At 45.0% G+C, this 23,798-nt stretch overlaps 1 pseudogene across 1 annotated transcript; it reads left to right on the top strand.

Annotated features, from left to right (window-relative positions):
- Positions 1-4,721: 4,721 nt before the first annotated feature.
- On the top strand, positions 4,722-20,196 carry GYG2P1 (glycogenin 2 pseudogene 1; annotated as a pseudogene). Its single transcript, NR_033667.1, has 5 exons — positions 4,722-4,762; positions 5,858-5,996; positions 19,003-19,119; positions 19,375-19,516; positions 19,812-20,196. The product of NR_033667.1 is annotated as a glycogenin 2 pseudogene 1 (transcript).
- The last annotated feature ends 3,602 nt before the right edge of the window (positions 20,197-23,798 follow it).

Genomic DNA, 23,798 nt, shown 5'->3' with positions numbered 1-23,798 from the left:
CTTCCAGGCTCAAGCAATCCTCCCACTTTAGCCTCCTGAGTAGCTGGGACTACAGGCATGTGCCAACACTCCCAGCTGTTTTTTTTTTTAAATTTTTTTTTGTAAAGATGAGGGGTATCTCACTAGATTGGCCAGGCTGGTCTTGAATTCCTGAGCTCAGGTGAGCCTCCCACTTTAGCCTCTTGAGTAGCTGGGACAACAGGCGTGTGCCAACACTTTGTGCTAATTTTTAAAATTTGTTGTAAAGACAGAGGGATCTCACTATATTGGCCAGGCTGTTCTTGAACTCCTGAGCTCATGCGATCCTCCTGCCTTTACCTCCCAAAGTGCTGGGATGGCAGGCATGAGCCACCATGCCCAGCTGCCTGCTGGGTTTCAATCCTTCCTTTCCCAGTACACATGTAACTTTAAAAAGGTCTTGTAACTAACTCTCCAATAAAATTGTCCCAGGCATATAAATGTCTTGACGTTTTCTTCAAATGCCTCCCTAGGAAAATTGGCATTCACCTATTCCCACCAACAGGGAGGAGAGAAATGTTTACTCTGAATGCACCCATGACAAAGCTCACCTGCTGTCAAGCTCTCCATGGCTTCCTGGAGACCAACACACACAAGAACAGAAGCCCGGCAACCCCCAGGGGAAGATGCCTCCTCCGGGTTTAAAGACGGAGCTACCCTTTTGCCCGGGGATCATGAATGTTGCCTTGTGACTTGGTGCCTTATACTCTGCTTTCAGAGCACCAATTCTCAGTGGAATGGGAGAAACAGGCGGGTGAGGAGAGGTGGGGTGATTTATGGGGCAGAGAATGGTGCAACACCTACACTTGTTTGTGTTGGGAGACTGAGGCCTCCTGCGTTCCCTAAACATGCTGTTTAAACATCCCTGCAACTGGGCCAACGTCTCTTTCTCTGTGGCTGTTTCAACCCTTTTCTGTCTCTGCCAAATCCATGCCCCACCTTCTCCAGCCCTCCTGGCTCCAGCTACCCCTCCCCAACACCCTCAAATCTCAGAAATGCAAGCAGTGCCTCTCAAGCCTGCGCATTAGGAACTCCTGGAGGCCTGGTTCACATAGCGGGGTTGGGGGAAGCCCCGAGACGCAGGGTTCTGATTTCAGAGTTCGGATGCCTAAGAATGTGCATGACACAGTTTCCCAGGTGATGCTGATGCTGCTGGACCAGGACTGAGCCTGCACATCTTACCCCGAATTCAAAATCAAAAGATGTGGTGAGGGTTCTCAGCAAAACGCAGCCTGAGACTCTATTTTGGAGACCCCTGTTCCAGAGAGAAGAACAGTGCTCCTGACACTTGGTGGGTGGGGCCCAGGGACGCTGCTCAACACCCTGCAGTGCACAGGACGCCCCCCACAGTCATTCAACTTAATAGTAGTAAAGTTGAGAAAGATTCTGTCTATTGCCTATCTATGTATCTATCTGTCTATCCATCCATTCATCTATCATCATCATTTATCTATTACCTATGTATCATTTATCTATTATCTGTCCATCTATCTAGCCATCCATCATCCATCTATCGTCATTATTTACGTATTATCTATCATTTATCTAGTATCTGTCTTCCTATCTTCCTCCTCCTCATTTTCTTCTTCATCTTCTTCTATCAATCTATTATCTATCTGTCTGCTTGCCTCCCTGTCTTTCTGCCTCTCAATCTAATCTATCCTCATCATTTATCTGTCCATTGTCTACATATAATCTATGTATCTAACATCAATCTATATGTCTATCCACCCATCCATCTATCATTTATCTATTACCTGTCATTTATCTATCTATGTCTATCTATTATGGCTTTCTGCCTGTCTACCTATCATCATCATCACATTTATCTATTATCTATGTGTCTATCATCATCATCATTTATCTATTATCTATCATCAACATTTATCTATTATTTATCTGTTTCTCTAATCTATCAGTCCTCATTTATGTCTCTGTCTCTATCATCTGTCTACCTGTCATCCCTCTATATTTATCATTGTTTTTCTACCATCTACTTATTTTCTGTTTATTTATATCTATCATTATCTTCCTATCATCTATTGATTATCTAGCTATTATCTGTTTTCTATTATCTATCATCCATCTCTCTACATCTAACCATGGCAGTGGCTGTCACTTGGGTGATTTTGATGCCAGAGAACACATGGTAATGTGTGCAGTCCCTTGTGCTTGTTAGGATTAGGTGGGGTGTGGTACTGCACGTAGCAGGTGGAGCCCAGCGGATGCTGCTAAACAAGGCACAGTGCACAGGATGGCTCCACAGTAATTATCTAGCCCCAAATATGGTTGAAGAGTCTGAGAAAGCCTGCCATAGGCTGAAGAAACCACCAGTGTAATTTGAAGTTTTTCACATCCTTGCTGAAGCACAGGAAAGCTCTGTTTACTTTGTTTTCTTAATTTAGGGAGTGCATTAAAAACATCATAAGGAAATAGAAGCCCAAGTTTTTGTTCTGTTGGGGGACTCTTGGTGATGTCGTCACCATTGTGTGGGGGTGCTCCAGGTATCAGGTGGGTGGAGCCCTGGGACACTGCTCAACACGCTGTAGTGCACAGGATGATGCCACCGCAAAGACCTCAAGCCCTTAAGCACTGGGACTCCATAATGAAGATGGGTTTTCCCCAACTTCTGCTCTGGATAAGATGCCCAGGGGTGGGTGATGTGTGTTAAGGAGATCAGAGGCTTCTGTTATGCATGGGGAGAAAAATGTGTTCACCAGGCCAGAGAGATAAGAGCTGCCTAGAAGGAGGCAGGAGGCAGGCCCCTGCCTGTCTACCCTGCCAGTGAGCTGCTCGACAGCTGACAGAATCTATCCTGAGGATGCCAGCATGGGGTTGTGTTCATTGGGTTCATTGTGACAACTGTCACTGTACTTTGGGAATACCTGGAAACACAAGGTGAAGACGCCATAGGAAGGTTGAGGAAGGGGCAGCATTCCCATGTCTTTCCTTAGGGCCTGGCAGTGGCTCTGCTTGGTGCAGTTCCAAGTTGCTTCCACCCAGAAGGCGCTCTCTTGCTACAGAGCAGGGTTTCTCACTTATTCACTTAACTCATGCACTCGTACACACTTGCATTCACACAATCATCACTCATTCAACTCATGTATTCATACATGCTTGCATTCACACATTCATTGATTCATTCAATTCACTCACGCATGCATGCATTCACACTTTCACTTAATTCATTCATGCATCCATTAACTTGTTCATGCATTCAATTCATTCATTCACTTATACATAATACATGAATTCATGAAATGTATGCAGTCTTCACTCATTCACTCGTGTGTGTGCATTAACACACATGCTAGTTTGTTCAGCTTATTCATGTACTCATACATATTTATTCACTCATTCATTCATCCACATATTCACTTGTCATGTATTCTGTTCATTCACTCACACACACACATTCATTCCTGTATAAATGCATGACTTTACCTGCTCGTTCAATCCTGCATGGATGAATTCACTCACTCACTCATGCAGGCATGAATTCACTTGTTCACTCAGTCATTCACGTGCTCACTCATGCATATACGAATTCGCTTAGTTACTCGTTCATACACTCACTCATGCTGGCATGAACTCACTTGTTCACTCATTCATGCACTCAAGCATACATGAATTCACTTGCTCACTCACTCATACATGCACTCATGCATACATGAATTCACCTGTTCACTTACTCATACATGCACTTACACAAGCATGAATTCACTTAAGTCATTCATGCACTCAATCACTCATGAATTCAGTTGTTCACTCATTCATGCACTCATTCATGCAGGCATTAATTTATTTGTTTACTCATGCATACATGAATTCACCTTTCACTAATTCATGCACTATGCATGTATGAATTCACTTGTTCATTCAATCATTCATGCATTCAACTCATTCATTCCCTCATTCATAGATTCATGCCTTCATTCATGCATGCATGCATTCACCTATTTTTTCCACACAGTCACTCCTCCATTCATGCATGTATCTCTAAATTCCTTCATACATGCATTGGCCCATTCATGCCTTCAACTCATGCATTCATTCCCTCCTTGGCGCAAATGTTGAGTCACTGGTTCATTCATTTCCTCGCTATCTCATTCACGAATTGTTGTTTGTTCATTCTCGCCTCACATGCATTCACGCATACATGCAGTCACTCATACATGCACTCACCGCGTGCGTATAGCCACTCACTCGCTATGTATTCAACAGCTGAGGCCTGAACACTCATTTTTTCTCTCTTTCGTGCATTCATTCATTCATTCATGCGTGCAAGTTTGCGCACGTGTATTTTTCATGCATTCAACAAGATAGTGTATGAGCTCTGCTTTCTCCTCTGGGAGGCTTCCAGAGCGGCCTCCACTCGGGCTGCGCGCTGGCCTTGGGCCCAGGGCCTTAAGTCATCGCAAACATTTACTTTGGGGCCGGCCAATTAAAGGTTAAATGTCCAAACCTAGAAACCGCCAACTGCCAAGGGGGCCGCGGTGGGCGAGGGGCTGGGCGCCGGCGTGGAGCGCAGCCACTGGCGGTTCCTGGGTCTCTCTCCTTGGTAGCTGGGGCTGGACACCAGGAGGCGCGCGGGCTTGCGGGCAGGGGCTGCAGGGCTGAGGAGCTGACCCGCGCCTACCAGGGCTGGGCGGAGGCGGGGCCGGGCTTCAGGACAGAGGCCAATCGCTGCCCTCCGGGCCCCCAGCGCCGGCTTTGGGCAGAGGCAGCCAGGGCGCCGGAAGAGGTGCGGGGGCTGCAGCGGGGTGCAGGGGATCGTATGCAGTGGAGGAGGCCTGGGCGCGGCTGGGGGCCGGGGGGCGCTGAGGCTGCCCGAACGCCTAGGAGGTCTCGAGGGTGGGTGGCGTACAGCGGGGCGCGGGCGGAACCCAGAGGCAGAGGCTGGGGGCTGGGGGAGGGGCGCCGGCCTTGGAGTGCAGAGGTGGGGCGAGAGGCGCTGGGAGCTGGAGGTCAGAGAGAGGTTGCCCAAAAGCAAAGGCGGGGAGGGGTGCGGGGCGCAGGGATAGGCTAGCGGCGCTTGCGGGTGGGTGGGCCGAGCCGAGGCGCCGAGTGCTGAGGAGTACAGGTGGTCCAGGCGCAGTGGGCACGGGGAGACGGAGGCTGCCTCAGTATGGAGGACAGACGGGGGCGGGGACGTAGAGCTGAGAGGCTTGGGGAGGGAGGCGCAGGCCCAAGGCAGAGGCTGCGGGAGCGCGCGGGGAGGGAGAGGTGCAGGGCGTGGAGGGGATTCGGGGGCGCTTGGAGAGGATGGGCAGAAGGCCGGGACGGGGAGGAGGGGCGGCGAGAGGCGCAGGAGTGGGCTGGGGTGGGGCGGCACTGGAGTGACGGGGGAGGGGGCGCCTGGCCTGGGGACACGGGCAGAGGCAGCTCAAGCTCGGAGGAGGTGCAGATACTGGGGTCCGGGAGCGCAGGGGTGGGCCAGGGAGTGGAGAGGGGTGACCGGGTCGGGGGGCAGCTGGGTTGGGGGAAGAGGATGTACCAGTACTCCAAGCAAGTGCGCTGGGCGACGGGGCAGCTGCTGACACCGCTGAGGTCGGGCGGTGTTCCGCGTGCGGTGTCGTTGCTGGGCGCATGGGTATTAAGAATCAGCGGGGTCGCAGGTGACTGTGGGGAGGACAGGGGGTCAAGGGGCCCCTGGCCAGAGGGCACGAGGCTGACCTAGAGCGCCGAGGAGGAATTGCGGGGCGTGGGGGTCTCAGGGGCGTCGGGGGAGGCCGGGGCCCCATGGGGCGCAGGTGACATGGAGTGAGTAGGAGGCCGGGGGTGACACCGGCGAGGCCTGCAGCCGAGGGTGTCGAGGCAGCCACGCTGTCGCCCCCAGGCCTGGAAATCCACGCGGCTTCCCAAAGACGGCGCCTCTGTTCTGCGGGTTCGTGACGAGGATTTATTTCCACCCACTGCGCCTGGGCGCAGGTCTGCGGGTCCGCGCCCACTGCGTGCGGCGCCACGGACCATGTCGGGTGAGTAGCTCAAGCTCCTTCAGTTCAGCCTGCCTGTTCCTACTGGCATGGGTGAGAGATTGGTCTGCACTGGGGAGAACCCCACTTTGACCGCAGGATTGCCCCAAACCCCAAGTCTCCCCCTCACTCCCTCGCCCAGGTCTCTCTGGGGCTGGAGGGAATGGAGATACCAGCCTCAGCTGCTGGGAGGGGGTGATTTACAGCAAGTGAAGGGGACCTTGGGTTCTCACCAGTTTCCTTTTGTAAAATATAGTCCTGAAACTCAATGGGCTTGTTTCTTCGGAATAGCATTGGCTATTCCCAATAGCAGTGTCTGAGCCTGTCACTGCCTGGAAGGCCCATGGGAAGAAGTCTGTTCTGAAACGGCCCTAACTAAAGCTCTGGGAAGACGCTGCCTTGAGTTCTTAAAGTTCAGATCGTGGGTTTAATTTCTGTTTCCAGTACAGATAAAGGGATGGCCGGGCTTGGTGGCTCAGGCCTGTAATCCCAGCCCTTTGGGAAGCTGAGACGGGAGGACTGCTTGAGGCCAGGACTTTGAGACCATCCTGGGCAACATAGGGAGACCATATCTGTAGGAAAATAATTTAAAAATCAGCTGGGCATTGCGGCACGTGCCTGTAGTCCCAGCTACTAGGGAAGCTGAGGTAGGAGGGTCCTGAGCCCAGGAGTTCAAGGTGGCAGTGAGCTATGATTGCACCACTGCACTCCAGCCTGAGTGACAGAGTGAGACCTTGTCTCTAAAAAAATTGAAATTAAAAAAAATAACAATTCAGGTTAATCCTCCTGCAGGCAGAGGGCTGGCTGGCAGGAATGGCAGGAATGGCAGAAAAGGCCTGCCCCGCAAGGACCGGTGAGCCCCATCTCCCTGTCCTTGGGTTTTGTGGACTTCAGATATACCGGTTGACTTAAGAGGCCTAGATATGTGAACATAGATTGTAACCTCATCCCACAAGAAAGATGCTGGCTCTATTTTTTATCATTAAATCATTAAGACACCTCCTTTTTGTACTAGACCACACTGGATCATTCATGAGTGCATTTTATGTATTTATTTTTAAATGTGCATATATACATATATACACATACACACACATATATACACACATATAAATATATATAAACACATATATACACACATATAAATATACATATACATATATACACATATATAAATATATAATACATACATATATGTACACACACATATATATATACACACGTGTGTGTGTGTGTGTGTATATATATGTATGTGTATATATATATATATTTTTTTTCCCTAGAGAGTCTCACTTTGTTGCCCAGGCTCCAGTTCAGTGTTGCATTCTCAGCTCACCGCAGCCTCTGCCTTCCGGGTTCAAGTGAGTCTTCTGCCTCAGCTTCCCGAGTAGCTGGGACTACAGATGCGCGTGCCTGTAGTAGCTAATTTTTGTATTTTCAGTAGAGACAGGGTTTTACCATATTGGCTGGGCTGGTCTCGAACTCCTGACCTTGTGATCTGCCTGCATCGGCCTCCCAAAGTGCTGGGATTACAGGCGTGAGCCACTGTGCCTGGCCCTTAATTGTATATTTTTTAAATTTTGTAGAGACAGAGTCTTGCTATGTTGCCCAGGCTGGTCTTGAACTTCTAGGCTCAAGCAGTCTTCCTCCTTTGGCGTCTCAAAGTTCTGGGATTATAGGGGCAAGCTAGCACGCCTGGCCATGAATGCAATTTAAAACACACAAACAGAACAGATGACTTCTTAATTCAGAGGAGAGATTTGGTAAATCACAGAGCTGCTTCTCTCTTGTTTTCTCTCACTCTGGACTTAGAGAGGAAAATTTTCGGGGCAGGGATCTTAAGGGCTGTTTTCATGAGGTGTACTGGAAGACTCTATTCCCAGGAATAGCAGAAAAGATTCTCTGTTCTAGGGACGCGTTTGGAGCTCTCTAAAGTGAAAGCTACAGGTTTCCCCAAGCCTGCTTGTGTCTGTATAATAACAGCATTCAAGACAGACATTTGCATACATCTTGGTCAGCCTCATGCCAGAAGAGAAGACTCAACTCTTTGCAGAAAACAGAAACTGCCTTTGAGTAGAGAAGGGCTGAGAAGGAAGATGCTAAGGATATTCTGAGGGGTGATCAGAAGATTCCTTGAGTGCAGGGGGGCAGGCAAGGGGTAGAAAGAAACTGTTGTCACAGAGTCATAAAATTCTAAGCCACTGCAATCTCCAGGCTGGACTTGATTTTGTGACAGTGTCTCCTTTTTGTGGGCTGTAGTGTAGTGACAAGTTCTTTTGCTGTTTTTCCACTCCGTGCCTTTGCTGAAAGTCTGCCGCACTGGCACATGAAGTGGAAACTCCCTCTTTGAATGCAGCAGCATTGGATAATTGTGGATGTTCTGTGGCGCCGCACCACGACTTGATCACCAGTTGTTTCTTCAGGGCAAGGTGATGTGGAAGCTAAGCACCTATCAATCAATGTTTCATGATCTGTTCTATTTCAATCCGCTGGTCTGTCTTTGCACTTTAGATGGGTTTTACAGTGTCCTGGATGGGAAGTGGCTAACCTTCAGGAGGTGCACATTTTTGTTCCAAAGCAGAAGTCTGAGTCTCGGATACCTTGTTGCTGGAGAGCTCTTGTGCCAACTGGTGTTGTCTTGTCATTGTGTGACTGTGGTCAGTATTCCCCCAACTCTAAACCAAAGAGAGAAACAGGGTGTCCAGTAGTTCCATAAAACTCTCACTCTAAATGCAGCCCTGTCTGCATTCTCTTTTGGGTTTGAGATCAAGGTAAGTGTGGGCAGGGCTGGTTCCTCCTGAGGCCTCTCTCCTGGGCTTGGTCCTCACAGGGTCATCCCTCTGTGTGTGTCTGTGTCCTAAGCTCCTCTTTTTTTTTTTTTTTGAGATGGAGTTTTGCTCTTGTCACCCAGGCAATGGTGCAATCTGCCTCCTGGGTTCAAGCAATTCTCCTCCTCAGCCTCCTGAGCAGCTGGGATTACAGGCATGCACCACCATGCCCAGCTAATTTTTGTATTTTTAGTAGAGACAGGGTTTCTCCATGTTGGTTAGGCTGGTCTCAAACTCCTGACGTCAAGTGGTCCACCTGCCTCGGCCTTCCAAAGTGTTGGGATTACAGGTGTTAGCCATCATGCTCAGCGTAATCTCCTCTTCTTATAAGGACACCAATCCTATTGGATCAGACCATCCTAGTGACCTAATTTTACCTTGATATCTTCTTTAAAGACCCCATCTCCAAATACACTCACATTTTGAGGTCCTGGAGGTTATGACATTCATATATGAATTTTGGAGGTGTGCAATTCAGCCCATAATAGGATAACTCATGTATTTGAATACTACTGTTTTTTTCTGCTGGGGCTGCCATAACAAAGTCCCACAGACTGGGAAGCTTGAACAACAGACATTTACTCTCACACAGCCCTGGAGGCTGGAAGTCTGAGATCAGGGTGTGGGCAGGGCTGTTTCCTCCTGACGCCTCTCTCCTTGGCTTGTAGATGTGGTCTTGTGGTCTTTCTCTGTATCTCCACAAGGTCATCCCTCTGTGTGTGTCTGTGTCCTCATCTCCTCTTGTAGTGAGGCCAGCAGTGCTACTGTATTAGGGCCCACCCTAGTGACCTCATTTTACCATAATCACCTCTTTAAAGACCCCATCTTCAAATGCAGACACATTCAGAGGTTCTGTGGGGTAGGGTTTCATCCTAGGCGTTTCAGGATGGGTTATCATCCGTCTATAACACCCATTAATCCTCATGTTTTCCCTGAGGTCCCCATGAAGAGCTATAAAGCCAGAGCATGTGGTTATCAATCAATGATCACTCTGCCATTTCTCTTAGTTGTCACTGAGATCCTCATGAAGAGATTAAAAAAACCAGCGCACCTCGCTATCAATCATTGATCACTTTGCCAGTTCGCATAGTTGTCACTCACGTCCTGATGAAGAGATAAAAAGGCCATGCACATGGTTATCAATCATTGATCACTCTGTCATTTCTTTCAGTTGTCACTGAGATCCTCATGAAGGGGTAAAAAACCAGTGTCTGTGGTTATCAGTCACTGATCACTTTGCCATTTCTCTTAGTCGTCAGTGATGCCCTCATGAAGAACTATAAAACTAGCACAGGTGGCGATCAATCACTGATCACTTTGCCATTTCTCTGTGTTGTCCTCTGCACCTTGCTTTGGGCCAATTCACTTGCATCCTCCTTTTCTTTAGACAGCCAGAGGGCCCTCCCTGGCAATGGAGATGAGACCTTCTTACAGGTCTTAGAACCCTGAAATAGCTCCTCATAAGCCTCAGGATAATAGAAAAGGCTGCATATCACCTTCGTAATCCTGGCCCTCTGACCCCATCTCTTCCTGTGGGTCCTTATTCTCCAGCTGCTGTTGCTACACTGTGAGGAATGCAGGATGCAGCATGCAACCTATCATCTCCACCTCTGATCTTGGTTCATGGACTTTTTCTGCCTCTTCCTTCTTTGCCTTATTATTTTTAGTTTAGTTTCTTATTGGAGGCAGGAGAGAGTAGCTATTTTGAGGGCTTTTGTTGGTGTTGGAGTCAGAGGTGACCTCAGACATTTAGTTACTCATTGAAGCCCCAGTTTACTTGTTTTTGAAGCACATGTCTGTGTTGGAAAGGGAATTAATGATAGTGCATAGGTATGCCCCATCTAGACACTCCTGGATGGATGGGAGCCATATTCATTCTTGTTTATTGATCCACTGATTTCTTGATGGATAAGTTCTTCCTGGCCATTTATCCCTGAGCTTGGATGGTGCCCTTTCAAAAACTGCTGCCTGCCATAGGACTTGCCTTGCAGTATTGAAACACCCATTTCTTAGGGCTGATGTTTCTCATGGAGTTGTGGGTGTCTGAGGACAGAGCTTGTACCTTGTTAGCTGCTGGGCCCAGCACGTAGCAGATTCTCGTGCCTGGGAATTGCCTGGGACGTGAACCCACAGTGAACGTGTAATGCACTGACAGCATGTCATTAGGCCCACACAGACATCTTCTGCCCCTTCACCTTCTTTGTCTTCTGCTTCCAGCTTCAAACCTTCACTCTTTCTCTAAGCAGGTGCCATTGTGTGGGCAGCTTATGGGACAGCACTGTTGACTGGGGTAAGCAGTGCCCCCCATAAAACTCACATCTCCCCAGAAGCTGTGAATGGGACCTGTGAACCCAAAAGTATCTGAGACAGGTCTCAATCAATTTAGAAAGTTTATTTTGCCAAGGTTAAGGACATGCCTGTGACACAGCCTCAGGAGGTCCTGACAACATGGGCCAAAGGTGGTTGGGGTACAGCTTGCTTTTACACATTTCAGGGAGACATGAGACATCAATGAATACATGTAAGATACACAATGCTTTGATCTGAAAGGGTGAGACTACTTGAAGCAAGGGGGTTGCGGGGGGTGGTGCCAGGTCATAGGTAGATTTTTAAATGTTCTGATTAGTCGAAAGAGTTATTTTCAATAGAAGAGAATGTCTGGGTTATGATAAGAGTTTGTAGAGACCAAGGTTTTATCACGCAGATGAAGCTTCCAGGTAGCAGGCTTCAGAGAGAATAGATTGTAAAGGTTTCTCATCAGACTTGAGGTCTGTGTGGATGTTTATGGTGGTCAGCTTTTCCTGAATTCCAAAATGGAGGAGGGTATGATGAGGCATGTCTGACCCTCTCCTCATTATGGCCTGAACTCGTTTTTCAGGTTAACTTTGGAATGCCCTTGGCCAATTAGGTAGTTGCGAGGCCTAGAATTTTAGTTTAGATTTACAGACCTTATTGGGAAATAGGGTCTTTGCAGATGTAATTAGTTAAGCATCTCAAGATAAGATTATCCTGGAATATTTGGGTGGGCCCTAAATCCAATGGCAGGTGTTGTCCCAAGAGATAGAAGAAGAGACACAGACACAGAGGAGGCCATGTGGAGTTGGAGGCAGAGATTGGAGTAATGTGGCCACAAGCCCAGGGACATCTGGAGCCACCAGGAGCTGGAAGAGGCAGGAAGGACCCTTCTCTAGAGTTTGGTTTTGGAATCCTGGCCTTCAGAACTGCAAGAGAGTAAATGTGTGTTGTTTAAGTCTCCCAGCGTGTGGTACTTTCTCACAGCAGCCCCAGGAAGCTCATTCATGGGTTTGCTAGGGAAAGGAGTCAGCAATGAGCCCACCAGTAAGCAAAATGAGCATAGCAGGTAAGATGGCACAAGAGATGAAGGGTCCTGTGTCATAGGAGGTGAGGGACTGTGATGAGAAGGGTCGTCTTGGGGAGCAGGGTTTGCAGGAAGATCTCTGAGGGATGGGTGGTTTTTTCCATGGCCACCATGTGCTGGGAGGAGAGTGAGTTCCAGGTGAGTTAAGGGAGTGGTAGTAGCCCCATGGTAGTAGCACACATCATAGGATGTGCTTGAGGACCCAGAGGGGTGGAGCTGGACGTGGGGACTTAGTGTGGGGGATGAGATGACCAGCATCCTGAACCCAGCTTACATTTGCAGACAATGAGAAAACCCTTGGTGTTGGGTTGGCTTTCAGGGCAGCTGATGGCTTTCACTCTGTGTTGGGGGAGAAAATGTGGTTTTTAAGGACTGAGGAAACAGATAACAGGAACCAGAATCTACAGGGTGGAGCAGAGAATGCAAAGGAGAGAAGTGTGGCTCAGGGTGATTGATCAGAGACCCATTTTAAATGTTTTCTAGTCTGGTGCGGTGGCTGGCTCACACCTGTAATCCTAGCACTTTGGGAGGCCAGGACGGGAGGACTGCTTGAGGCTAGGAGTTTGAGACCAGTCTGGGTGACAGAGCAAGAGACCCCATCTCTACAGAAAAATTAAAAATAAATTAACCAGGTGTGGTGGTGAGCATCTGTAGTCCCAGCTACTCAGGAGACCGAGGCAGGAGGATTGCTTGAGCCCAGGAGTTCCAGGCTTCAGTGAGCTGTGATGCTGCTGCTGCACTCAAATCTGGGTGATAGACAGAGAAAGACCCTGTCAAAAAAGAATAAAAAGGCCAGGCACAGAGGCACACCTGTAGTCCCAGCATTTTGGGAGCATGAGGCAGGCAGATTGCCTGAGCCCAGGAGTTCAAGACCAGCCTGGGCAACATAATCTGTCTCTACAAAAAATATAAAATAGCTGGACGTAGTGATGTGCACTCGTGGTCCCAGCTACTCAGGAGGCTGAGGTAGGAGGATTGCTTGCTTCCAGGAAGTTGAGGCTGCAGTGAGCTGAAGTCATACCACTGCACTCCAGCCTAGGCAACAGAGGGAGACCTTCTCTCAAAAACCACCACCACAACAACATAATGAACAACCCCAACATTTTCTGTTGTGCCTCTCGGTTAAGATCTCAGTTAGTTATGCAAGAGTAGAATGTGGGATTGGAGGCAAGTGGACTTCTCCTTACCTCAGAATTCATGTCATAAATGCTCTGCACAGACGAGGCTTCTAGGGCTCTCAGGGAGACCTAGGAGGTGGGTAACAGGGATCTGAATCTACCCGGTGGAGCCCATGTCCCAGGTCAGATGGTGCCAAATTTCATTTTATACATTCTCTGTTCTTCTTCTCTGCTACTTAAGAGCGCAGGTCAGTAAGTGGGGTTGGAAACAGTAGACTCTTCCTTACTAGGGTATAGGAGTTGGCACGCTAAATATTCTGCAAAGCTTGCTCTTGCAGGACCAAGCATCTAAATAGCAAGGTCTAACCTCAGTCATCTGTTTCTGGAGGAAAATCCCAAAGCATGGCCTTTGGAGTGTGATTTAGCCCTCATTCTCAGATTCAGTGGTGAAGTTCAGAGGGGAGCCAATCCCTCTGAGCATCTCGAAGGTGGACAGAACAGTCAGCTCAGGAGGAAATCTCAAAACAACGCCCCTCCTCGGGAGTTCTATTACCTTTGTCATTGTAGTTCCTAAAGGATGCACTCCTTTTCCTTTCTATTCTTTAATTCACAGGGTCCTTAAACATGGTTCCTCAGATTTCAATAATCTATACATTGGAGATCACAAAGAAATCTTAATATTGCCAATGGAAGGCTAAAAATGGTAAATGGCACTTTGTTTTCAGTTTGACATTACTTTGCTGATGATTCTTCTCATAACATATATTATTTGATTTATCTTATTTTTTACTTTGCCATCTACTTTGCAATTACACAGACACACACACACACACACACACACGCTTTCTCTTTAAAGACAGGGCTCTGCTCTGTCACCCAAGCTGGAGTGCAGTGGCACAATTATATCTCACTGCAGCCTCCAATTTCTGGGCTCAAACAATCCTGCTGTCTCAGCTTTTCAAGTTAGCTAGGACTTCAGGCATGTGCAAAAAAATGTATTTTTAAATTAAAAGAATACAAGTCTATTCTTACTGTGAAACACATACTCAAATACCTGCCTGAGAAATGGTATGTGGCGTATAAATGTGCAGCAGATGTGCTAATTGGCCTGGGCCTAGAAATTTAGCTACTTGGTCTGGGTATACAATTTTAGGTTGAGGACCATTGCACTCAAAGAGTTTAGATATGGTGCTTTGTTTTAGTGTCCACTATTCATGATAAGAAGTCTCAGTCTCATCCTTAATAGGATTGACCTGTATTTTTATTTTACTTTCATTTTCTTGGCATTATCACGATGTTCTCCTTATCCTTGGTGTTTTTAAACTCCAGAAACATATTGTCAGGATAAGGACTGTTGAGTTTCTTTCTTTCTTTCCCTGTCTCTCTGTCCCCATCTCCCCTCCCCTCCTCTCTCCTCCCCTCCCCTCCCTCCCTCCCTCCCTTCCTTCCTTCCTTCCTCTCTCTTTCTTTCTTTCTTTTTTCTTTTTCTTTTGCTGCATACTCTCTGGGCTTTTAAAATCTGAAGACTGACTTTCTGCTGCTGTTGAGAACATTTCCTGTTTAATTTCTTTGAAAACTTTTCTTCTATTTTTTTTTCTGTTCTCTTACTCTGAAACTTATGTTGGTGAACCTTCTGAATCACTCCTGTAGGCTTCTAGCTTTCTGAAATTTTCCATTTGTCCCTTAATTGTACTTTCTGCGAGATTTCCTCATTGACATTTTCCAAACCTTCTGTTATTCCATTTTCATTTCAGCAAATCATATTTTTAACTTCTAATAACTATTTCTTATCCTTGGAGTGATCTTTTCTATAGCATTTGATTCTTGGTTTATAGATGTATCCCTCTCCCTGTAATCTTTTGAAAGAATACTAATTAATGCAGTCAGAATTTTTATGTCTGTCTGTCTGTTCCTTGAATTTCTATTCCATGAATTCTCTGGTATTTATGGGGTTCTTCCCATTCTACCCCATAACTTTTTAGTTTTCTCTTTTGTGTTGAAGGTGTTTTTCAAATGCCTGTAATGGTTTATATCTACATGTATAAAAATGAGGAATGTCAGTTGAGCTGTGCCTACTTGCAAGGGTTGCCGACTTGTCTGAATTTGTCAAGGTTATGTTATAGGTTAGGAATTCCACTTCTGTGTGGTGGTAATTATTTTTTCTTGGGCTTTTGGTTTCCTGTAGAGTAGGTCCTATTATCTGATTTTGCCTCTCGTGATGGGTATATTTGGCCTTCGAGAATTCTGCAGAATTTCAGTGACTTCTCCAGTTTCTCTTATTGGCTGACAGTTTTCTCCTGCCTCCTTGTTGGCTTGGGGTTCACACTTGCCTTCCTTAGCACACTTTTTAGTTTGTTCTCCTTTTATCTCAGAAGGAAGGAAAGAGAAACTAGGAGCTCCGCATCCACCATCTTTGCTTGGAAGATTCCTGGTTTACACTTTTAATTACACGGTTGAATTGATGAAAATGCATGGACCTTGAAAACATCATGCTGATGGAAAGAAGCCGGACACAAAAGGCCATATGATGCTTGATTCCATTTACATGAAATATGCAGAACAGGCAGATCCACAGAGATAAAAAGTGATTGGTGGTTGTCACAAGCTAGGGAAGGGAGAAAGGGAAGATACTCCTTAATGAGTGCAGGGTCTCTTTTTGGGGTGATGAAATGTCCCAGGATTAGATAGAGGTGGTGGGTGTACAACATTGTGATGAATTGTGCTCTTTACAATGGTGAATTTTATGTCATCTGAAGTTTACTGTGATAAATAAAAAGGAAATACAAAATTATTCCATTTTCAAAAACTACATAGTGTTTGATTCCATTTATAGGAAATATCCAAAATAGGAATGTAGAGACAGAAAGCAGACTCATGGTTGCCAGAATGGGGAGTGACTGCGTAATGGGTACAGGGCCTCCTTTTGGAGTGATGAGAATATCCTCGGATTGCCTGGAGTTAGTTGTTGCACAACATTGCGCATGGACTAAATGCGAGTCACTTGTGCACTTTAAAATGGTTTGTTTTACGTTATGTTAATTTCCCGTTAATTTTTTGAGAGTTTGCATGGAAAGGTGAAGCTCTTAGCAGGTCGTATGTTTAGGTGTGGGGATACCCATTATGCTGCTTAGAAATATGTTCACACTTAGGGTTCAACACTGGGGGTTCTACTTGGTAATTCTTTCTGTTTCCACAATCTTTCAAGATACGGGTCAGAGAAACCTTGGTGAGGACGGGGTAGGGGATTGGATCTCTGGCTCTGTTTTGGGCATTGTGTGATTTTCGAGGTCTGTGGGTGAAGCTCACACAGTACCTTGGCCAGCTTTGGGCTTTGCGGATGCCAGTCCTGAATGTCTGCTTCCTCTCCCATCTCTCTCCTCTGCTTAGAGACAAAAGAGCCTTACAGATGGCTGAACGGGTCCATGACAGCTATGCCTTTCTTGGGAAATACTTTTGGTCAGAGCTTAGGCCTTGGGAAATGTCTAAAGGAGTAATAATCACCATTATTATCATTTTAAAGCTAGTAATTAAGAAAACTATAGATAGATTATAGATAATGGTGCTAGAGACAATTTATAATCTATAGACTGTAGGTAGGTAGATGTTTGAAAGATTGATAGATATAAAGAAGTAGATACAGAGAGGACACATATATGATAGGTAGATGACAGATGGAGATAGATAAATGGATAATAGAAAATTATAGGTGGAGAGATGATGGAGATAGATGGATGATAGATCATAGATACATAGATGATAAATTTACATAGATGATATATGATAAATAGATGATAGAGATAGATGGATTAGATAGATATACAGATACATGATAGTAAGATAGATAATAAATAATAGATGTGAATAGAATTGGTAGATGATAGGTGGATAGATGGAAGGATGGATAGATGATAGGTAGATGGATAGATAGATGATGGATGGATAGATATATGATTGATTGATAGATGATAAAGACAGATTTATAGTAAGATAGATAATAAATAGATGTACAGAGAATTGGTAGATGATGGATGGATGGATGCATGAATAAATGGATAGATAGATGATGGATGGATAAATGATAGATAATGGAAGGATGGATAAATGAGAGATAGATGGATAGCTGGATGGATGGATAGAGATAGATAATAGTAAGATAGAAAGTAATAGATGTGCAGAGAATTGGTAGATGATAGGTAGATGGATGGATGAATGGATGGATAGATAATAGGTAGATGGATAATACAGATATTATCCAATGATAGATGATAGACGGATAGATAGATGATAGATGAACGGATGGGTGGATGGATGGATGATGGATAGATGGATAGATATGGACTGATGACAGATATCTTTTATTCTACAGAATTAAGTTGTAAAGTTTGCTGTCTATGATACTCACTCCCAGTGGAGATGTCAGGAATTCTTGTTCTTCCTTCCTGCAAGGGTAGGGAGAGGAATCTACAGGAGCAGCTGTAACAGGCGCATTTTGGAATTTACCCCATTGCAATGTAAAGGTCAAGGAGGCAGCCCTGGGCCACACGTCTGGGACACTTGTGTTTGTTATATTTAGTGCGAATTGTGGTTTGGCTTCTCTTGGAGTGCTGCTTCTGGGGAAGGTGCCATGGTTGCCTGCATGCTGAGCATTTTAATTTCCATAGACAGTACACTGGGCTGCACACTGTGTGGGACTTGTTGGTGTTGCTGGCTGCCCTCCTGACTGTTGTCTTTCTCCTGGCAACAGGGGCTTGGGTGCCCAAGAATTGAGTGGTTTAAAAGTCATTACCAAAGTTCACATCAGTCTTATGCACAGAGACTTAAAAGCCATTAATTATATCTAATGTGAGAGTTCCTTCCTCTCCTATTGAGGCATTAGGAAACTGAGCACATTCTACCTAATGAAACAATACACTTCTCCTTATGTTGACTGTACCACCTCATACAACCCTGAGTTGAAGTTGAAGTCTTTGTAAGAAATGGTCTGTCCAGAATTTAAATAACATGTTTGGCTGCTTCTTTGTGGAGCATGATTCTTTTCTTTTCTTTCTTTTTTCTTTTTCTGAAGACAGGGACTCACTCTGTTGACCAGGCTGGAGTTCAGTGGTGTGATCATGGCTCTTTGCAGCCTTGACCTCCTGTGCTCAAGCAATCCTCCTCCCTCAGCCTCCCAAGTAGCTAGGACTATAGGTGTGCACCACCTTGCCTGGCTAATTTTTTTTTTTCCAGTAGAGATGAGGTCTTGCTGTGCTTCCCAGGCTGGTTTCAAACTCCTGGGCTCAATTAGTCCCCCTTCTTCAGCCCTAGCACTGGGATTACAGGCATGAGCCACTGCATCTAGCCCAGAACACAGTTCTTTGAGTTGGATTACATCTTTGCTGTAACTCAGGTCATCAAGTCATCACTTCCACTTTTTGCCTTTTGTTTCCACCTAAGATCTAAACACTTTGGGTGAGTTTTCAAGAGTCAAACACAACATAAAATAAGGGATAGTAGCTATGAGTTTCCATGGCATTGCAGCATCAGGAAACGGGCATAGCCATTGGGTTGACTTTGTCTCATGTTTAAGGTTCCTTCATTCTCCTCCTGTGTTTTGTTTTGTTTAGAATGAAAGGAAGAATGTTTGTGAATTAGAATACTGAATATTCACTGCAAGTCGTGATTTTTTTTTTTCTTTTTTGAGACAGGGTCTCACTCTGTCACCCAGGCTGGAGTAGAGTGGTACAATCACAGCTCACTGCAGCCTCAAACTCCCAGGCTCAAGTATCCTCCTACCTCAGCCTCCCAAGTAGCTGTAACTACAGGTATGCCACCATGCCCAGCTAATTTTTGTATTTTTCATAGAGACAGAGTTTCACCATGTGGCCCAGGCTAGTCTCGAACTTCTTAGGTCAAGCAATTCACCCACCTCAGCCTCCCAAAGTGCTGGGATGACAGGTGTGAGCCACCACATCTGGCCCAAGCCATGAATCTTGGGAGAGGAGAGGAGGTGACTATGGCCTTGTCACCCCTGCTGTCCCTCAGGAGTGTAACTCTGGTGTTTCTGTTGATTTTCACAGTGACTGATCAGGCTTTTGTCACACTGGCCACAGATGACATCTACTGCCAGGGCGCCCTGGTCCTGGGGCAGTCACTGAGGAGACACAGGCTGACGAGGAAGCTGGTGGTGTTGATCACTCCTCAGGTGTCCAGCCTGCTCAGGTAAGGCTCAGAGATGTGGCTTGTGCCCAGATGGGTCCTATAGAAGGAGGGTCACCTCTCCCCCAAGAGGTCCTAGGAGTTATTCTGATGACTGACCACCGTTCTTCACCGGCCTGGATGGCTGGCAATCATGATGGGCATCTTACATTTGTAATGAACCTTCGAATCATGTGAAAATATAGGCGTGTGATCGGCTTCACAATACTTTAAAAAACAATACTGGGTATGGTTACAGTTCATTCTCCCAACCACGGAAACTGAAAATTCAATTCTTTTTTTTTGTTTTTTGAGACAGGGTCTCACTCGTCGCCCAGGCTTGAGTGCAGTGATACCATCTCGGCTCACTGCAACCTCTCCCTCACTGGCCCAAGTGATCTTCCCTCCTCAGCCTTCTAAGCAGCTGGGACCACAAGTATGTGCCCGCATGCTTGGCTATTTTTATTTTTATTTTTTGTATTTTTGGTAGAGACAGGGTTTCGTCACATTGCCTAGGCTGATCTTGAACTCCTGGACTCACTCAGTCCACCCAGGTTGGCCTCCCAAAGTGCTGGGATTACAGGCATGAGCCACGGCGCCCTGCCAAGGAGTCTTTTTAAAAATAATTTCCTTTTACAATTCCCTTTGTCTTTAATTCTCAAATAAAGCAAATACATAAATAAATGCATCTAATGAATAAAGCATAAGGCTTCTCTTAAATGTCATACATTATGTAAGCAATAATCTTTTTCTTTCATCAACCATGGACCACTTAGAAAAAGTGATTTTATATGAATGGGACGAGGAGGCATTTAATATGTAGATGTAGCAGGAATTGAATGTCATATTCTTTGACAACGAAATAATAAATCCAGACATTAATAGCTAAACTAAAAAGAGAACAAATAAAAAACCAACCAGTGTGTCCTCAGACATTTTAAACTAGAAGTGCTCTCCTAAATAACTTGATCTGGGTATAAATGAAAGCTTGAATTACGTACTATTTCAGAAAATGATTCCAATGTGAGTGCTACCTATACAAAGCAAAGACAGCAACTAAAGTGGTACAAGAAAGAAAATTTAAATCAGTGAAGAAATCATCCAGTTCAAATATATACATATTTTTATATATACATATATATGTTTATGTATACGTTCATGTATGTTCATATATGTTTAAATATATATATAAATATATACGTTCAAATATATATATATATTTTTTGAGACAAAGTCTCACTCTGTCATCAAGGCTGGAGTGCAGGGGTGGGATCTTGGCTTAGTGCAACCTCCACCTCCCAGGTTCCAGTGATTCTCCTGCCTCAGCGTCCTGCGTAGCTGGGATTACAGGCACCCAACGTCATGCCTGGCTAATTTTTGTATTTTTAGTAGAGACAGGGTTTCACCATATTGGACAGGCTGATCTCCAACTCCTGACCTCAAGTGATCTGCCCGCCTTGGCCTCCCAAAGTGCTGGGATTACAGGTGTGAGTCACCATGCCCAGCTCCAAATATTTTTAAAATAAAAAAAAGTAAAGCAAACAGCAGTAAAAAAATTCATAAAGATAAAACAACACAACTAATAATTGGGAACAAGAAACAAATTCAGGCATTTGATTAACGCATCTTCAGGGGGGCCAAGGTGGGAGGATTGCTTGAGGCCAGGAGTTTGACAAGACAGTTTGGGTGATATAGCAAGACCCTATCTCTACAAAAAATAAAAAGAGCCAGATGTGGTGGTGCGCACCTGTAGTCCCAGCTACTCAGGAGGCTGAGGTGGGAGGATTGCTTGAGCCCAGAGGTTCGAGGCTGTAGTGAGCCATGATCGTACCACTGCGCTCTAGACTGGGCAACAGAGTGAGCTCCTCTCTCTAAAAATAAAAATAACAAATAAAAATGAATCTTTCATTTGAGAAAACATAAATGTACAAAATAGAAATTGGAAAGAAGTCATTTGGAGGCAGTTTTAAAAGCGAATACTATATAGAACCCCTTATAGTAATAACACTGGAAGTATTGAAGAAGCGCTTGATCCTTCTAGGGAAATCAGTGAGATGTTGGTTGTTGTCATCAGAAGAAATAGAAACCTTCTATTTGACAATAACTATGAGAAAAACTGAAAATGTTACCAAAGGCTTATCTTGTAGAAAGGCCCTGGTTTGGGCAATTTTAAGGGAAGTTCTGGTAAATTGCTTATGATGAATTAATTTCCCTGCTGCATAAAGTGTCACAGAGCCTAGCAAAAGATGAATGTGTTCACTTATTTTAAGAAACTGTTATAATCTTGAAACCCAAACTTGATTTACACATTTGATTGTGTTTATATTTGGATTGAGAAAGCCCTCAAATACAGGATGTTAATAAGGCAACTCTAGCCCTGTAGTAAAGAAATAAATAGAGCTTACCCTAAGAAAGCAAAGATATTTTTGTATTTGTCTATCTTTGCTTCTGGTGTGCTAGAGACGAGCCCCTGCAAACCCCTCAAGTGTTTTAAGAGTTCTTTGTATGTGAGGGACAATAAGAACCTCTCCATTATAATATTGTCAATGTGGCCCTCCGTTTGTTTTATCTTTTACTTTCACACATACTATCTCTGACACACAGCAGTTCTGGTGTCCTCTTCCAACTTGTTTAATTTACAACAGCATTTCCAGCTTCTAGATAAACGAAACATCCACCTGCATCAATATGTGGAGATATTTTTAGTTGTCACAACTGCCACCTCCTGCTAGCATCTGGTGGGTGGAGCTCAGGGATGCTGCCCAACACCCTGCAGTACACAGGACACCCGACCACATGGAACCCCCCAGTCCCAGACAGCAGCAGTGCTGAGAAACTTTCATCTACTTTCTTCTAAGATTTCTCTATGTTTTAAATGTTTACCTCTATATTTATAATATATGTGTTTTTGTTTTTTTTTGTTTTTAAGACACAGTCTTGCTCTGTCACCCAGGCTGGAGCACAGTGGTGCCATCTTGGCTCACTGCAATCTTAACCTCCTGGGTTCGAGCAATTCTCCTGCCTCACTCTCTCAAGTAGCTGGGATTACAGGTGATCACCACCACACCCTGCTAATTTTTTTTTTTTTGTATTTTTAGTGGAGACGGGGTTTCACCATGTTGGCCAGGCTAGTCTCAAACTCCTGACCTCAAGTGATCCACCCAACTCGGCCTCCCAAAATGTTGGGATTACAGGCATAATCCACCATGCCTGGCTTGGAATTCTTTTACCCATCATCTCTTTACTTATACTTTCTATCTATCTATCTATCTATCTATCTATCTATCTATCTATCTATCTATCTTCTATTTATCATCTATCTGTCTCCACCTATGTATCTATCTATCTGTATATCTATCACCTTGAATCTATTAATTCAAGATAGATTAAAGACTTAAATGTTAGACCTAAAACCATAACAACTCGAGAAGAAAACCTAGGAAGTACCATTCAGGACATAGGCATGGGCAAGGACTTCATGTCTAAAACACCAAAAGCAATGGCAACAAAAGCCAAAACTGACAAATGGGATCTAATTAAACTAAAGAGCTTCTGTACAGCAAAGGAAACTACCGTCAGAGTGAACAGGCAACCTACAGAATGGGAGAAAATTTTTACAATCTACCCATCTGACAAAGGGCAAATATCCAGAATCTACAAAGAACTTAAACAAATTTACAAGAAAAAATCAAAGAATCCCATGAAAAAGTTGGCGAAGGATGTGAACAGACACTTCTCAAAAGAAGACATTTATGCATCCAACAGACAGATGAAAAAATGCTCGTCATCACTGGCCATTAGAGAAATGCAAATCAAAACCACAATGAGATACCATCTCACACCAGTTAGAATGGCAATCATTAAAAAGTCAGGAAACAACAGGTGCTGTAGAGGATGTGGAGAAATAGGAACACTTTTACACTGTTGGTGGGACTATAAACTAGTTCAACCATTGTGGAAGAAAATGTGGCGATTCCTGAAGGATCTAGAACTAGAAATGCCATTTGACCCAGCCATCCCATTACTGGGTGTGTACCCAAAGGATTATAAATCATGCTGCTATGAAGACACATGCACACGTATGTTTATTGTTGCACTATTCACAATAGCAAAGACTTGGAACCAACCCAAATGTCCATCAATGATAGACTAGATTAAGAAAATGTGGCACATATACACCATGGAGTACTATGCAGCCATAAAAAAGGATGAATTCTTGTCTTTTGTAGGGACATGGATGAAGCTGGAAACCATGACTCTGAGCAAACTATTGCAGGGATAGAAAACCAAACACTGCATGTTCTCA

This window comes from Homo sapiens, chromosome Y (genome assembly GCF_000001405.40).
Source record: "Homo sapiens chromosome Y, GRCh38.p14 Primary Assembly".
Lineage (NCBI taxonomy): Eukaryota > Metazoa > Chordata > Mammalia > Primates > Hominidae > Homo > Homo sapiens.
This window is presented reverse-complemented; position numbering and strand designations above follow the sequence as displayed.